The following is a 2,938-nucleotide window of genomic DNA, read 5'->3' on the forward strand; positions in this document are numbered from 1 at the left end:
TATCAGACTATGATTAAAAAATTAAATGCATATGTCTCAAACACAGAGAGAATGAGTTCGTTCCAGATCAACTGGCAAAGTGAATGAGTAGGGAGATGTGCTCTAGTCTATGCAGTTATTCAGGGATCCAGGTTGATGAATATTGCCATTTTCTTCATGCACATTGGCATCCAGCTGGCAGAAGGGGGAAAAAAGCCTGGAGGATTTTGAATGGGAAGTTATACGAGGCTGGGCATCTAAGATACACACATCACTGACTCACATTGCATTGGCTAGAATGCAGTTACTGGAGATGTCCAACTACAAAGGAGGCTGGAAAATATGCTCTGTGTGTCCAGAAGAGGAAATGGGTGGTGTTATATTTTTGGTGATCTCTGCCACAGAAAACTGTAGGTTTAGGTCTCAACATTGACAGTTACTTCTTGTGAACTTGAACATATCATTTAACCTTTTTGAGCTTGTTTCCTCTTTTATGAAACAGTAATTTGGCCAGGTGTGGTGGCTCATGCCTTTAATTCCAGCAGTTCGGGAGGCCGAGGGGGGCAGATCACCTGAGGTAAGGAGTTCAAGACCAGCCTGGCCAACATGGCGAAACCTCATCTCTACTAAAAATACAAAAATTAGCCAGGTGTGGTGGTGCCTAACTGTAATCCCAGCTACTCGGGAGGCTAAGACAGGAGAATTGCTTGAACCCGGGAGGCGGAGGTTGCAGTGAGCCAAGATCGTGCCACTGCACTCCAACCCAGGTGACAGGGTGAGACTCCATCTCAAAACAAAAACAAAAAACAGTAATTCATACTTTGTATATTTGTTACAAGAATTAAATGCGATTTGTCTATAGTGTACTTAGCTCTTAGCTCACTATTGGCAATAGGAACTACTCAGTAAACGGTAGCTATTTTCTTTTTTTAAGAAGATACTCAGGCACATTGTTTTAGGTATGATGAGCTCTTAGAACTTGGTGGGTATGACCTAGGATCAGAAACCACTGGACAAAATCTTGAGCAAGGGACAAATTGGAGTAGAGATTTAGATTATTATTACTATTAAGTAATAATGATAGCATTCATTATGTACTAACTTGACAAAGATCTTTTCATAAATTAACTCATTCGATATTCTCAATAAACTTATAATACAAATGCCATTATTATCCTAATTTTTTAGTTGAGAAAACAGAGATTTAGAGAAATTAAATACTTTTTTTTTTTTTTGAGACGGAGTCTTGCTCTGTTGCCCAGGCTGGATGGAGTGCAGTGGTGCGATCCTGGCTCACTGCAACCCCTGACTCCCAGGTTCAAGCGATTCTCCTGCTTTAGCCTGCCTAGTAGCTGGAATTACAGGCGCACTCCACAATACCTGGAAAATTTTTGTATTTTTAGTAGAGACAGGGTTTCATCATGTTGACCAGACTGGTCTCGAACTCCTGACCTCAAGTGATCCACCCACCTCAGCCTCCCAAAATGCTGGGATTATAGGGGGGTTATAGGTGTGAGCCACTGCACTGGCCAGATTTAGAAAGATTAAATAATTTATACAAGTCCACAATCAAATTTGGAAGTAAGATTTAATTCCAGATCCATCTTACTCCAGAGTTCACATCCTAAATAATCCCCCAAAAAGTGAGCACCAGAATCTAGGATGATGGAGATTTATTAAATAAGACTTGAGGATGAAAACGGAAGTGAATTAAAGTCTCAAGAGTGTTCTGAAGGGTTATTGACTTTCTTCAGACAAGCTCAAGAACATGAAAACGCAGTTTTAAAGACGAAGGATTTGTCCCAGAGATCCATCTCACAGGATAAAGATGGGAGACCAACATCAGTAATAGTATCTTTGACCAGTGAAAAATATTGCCTACAGCAAACTGACGTAACTCAGAATGTGAGGATGGATTGGAAAAAAAATACATAAATATTTGTTGATAGTGTCTGAGATTCAGCTTATTACTCCAGAGTGTAAGGATGCCACCTGAGGATACTGCCAGGTCATGCCTAAAGTCTTATCACCCAAACCAAACCAGAAGGGAGCACAATGAACACCCCTGCAGCCACATAGCATCAATGAAAGGATCTGAAATTTGACAAGATTGGAAACACCTTCGGACAGGTGAGTGCTAGAGTAGGGAAAGGGCTTACTAATGGTGAATGGTTCCCATCTGTAGTGTAAGGAGGGACGAGGGAGATTCAGTTTGGGGAATAGGGATTTATCTAGGTTAAGGGGTAGTTATTTCTTTTGGAGCTCAGATTGCGTAAGGGCAGTCTCTGCTTGAGCAGGAAGCAGGCACTGTCCAAAGTGCTTTCTTTGGTCCTCTCCAGTGAAAGTGATCTACCCTGCCTATGAATCTCTAGATACTTGTATGCAGTGCTCTCTCCCTGAATTACACACTCACATATACATTCGGACTTTTCAGGGCATTCAAAAGACACATACAACCATTTTCATTTCTGTATGAATGTGATTCAAACGGAGGAAGGAAATCAGATTTCCAGAGACATTTTGTTACTGGATGAAGGCAGGGGTTGGTTGGGGAATGGAGGGAGAAGGAGAATAAAAGGGAAAGTAGGTAGCATTGGTAAAGCAACTTCTGCCTGCTGGAAGGTGGCATATCTTGGATGAAAATATTCAAGTACTGCACATAATATCACCATATATTTCAGCATTGATAATCATGTGCTCATTTATTTAGCCCCCAAACAGATGTAACCAACATCATCACTTTCTATGAATAATAATTTACATTTTATTTTTAGTAAATAAAAACTTCTGGTTCTATTTTTGAGGCAGAGCCTAAAATTCACACACACACACAAACACACACAATGTTTATATTTTAAAAATGCCATTGCCATTGGCTTCGTTTCCATCTACAATTTTAAATTCAATAATGCATAATATCAACAACAGCAACAGCAATACGGGGAAAGGGTGCTTGCCT

The sequence above is a fragment of the Homo sapiens genome, chromosome 2, assembly GCF_000001405.40.
Source record: "Homo sapiens chromosome 2, GRCh38.p14 Primary Assembly".
NCBI classification, from domain to species: Eukaryota; Metazoa; Chordata; class Mammalia; order Primates; family Hominidae; genus Homo; species Homo sapiens.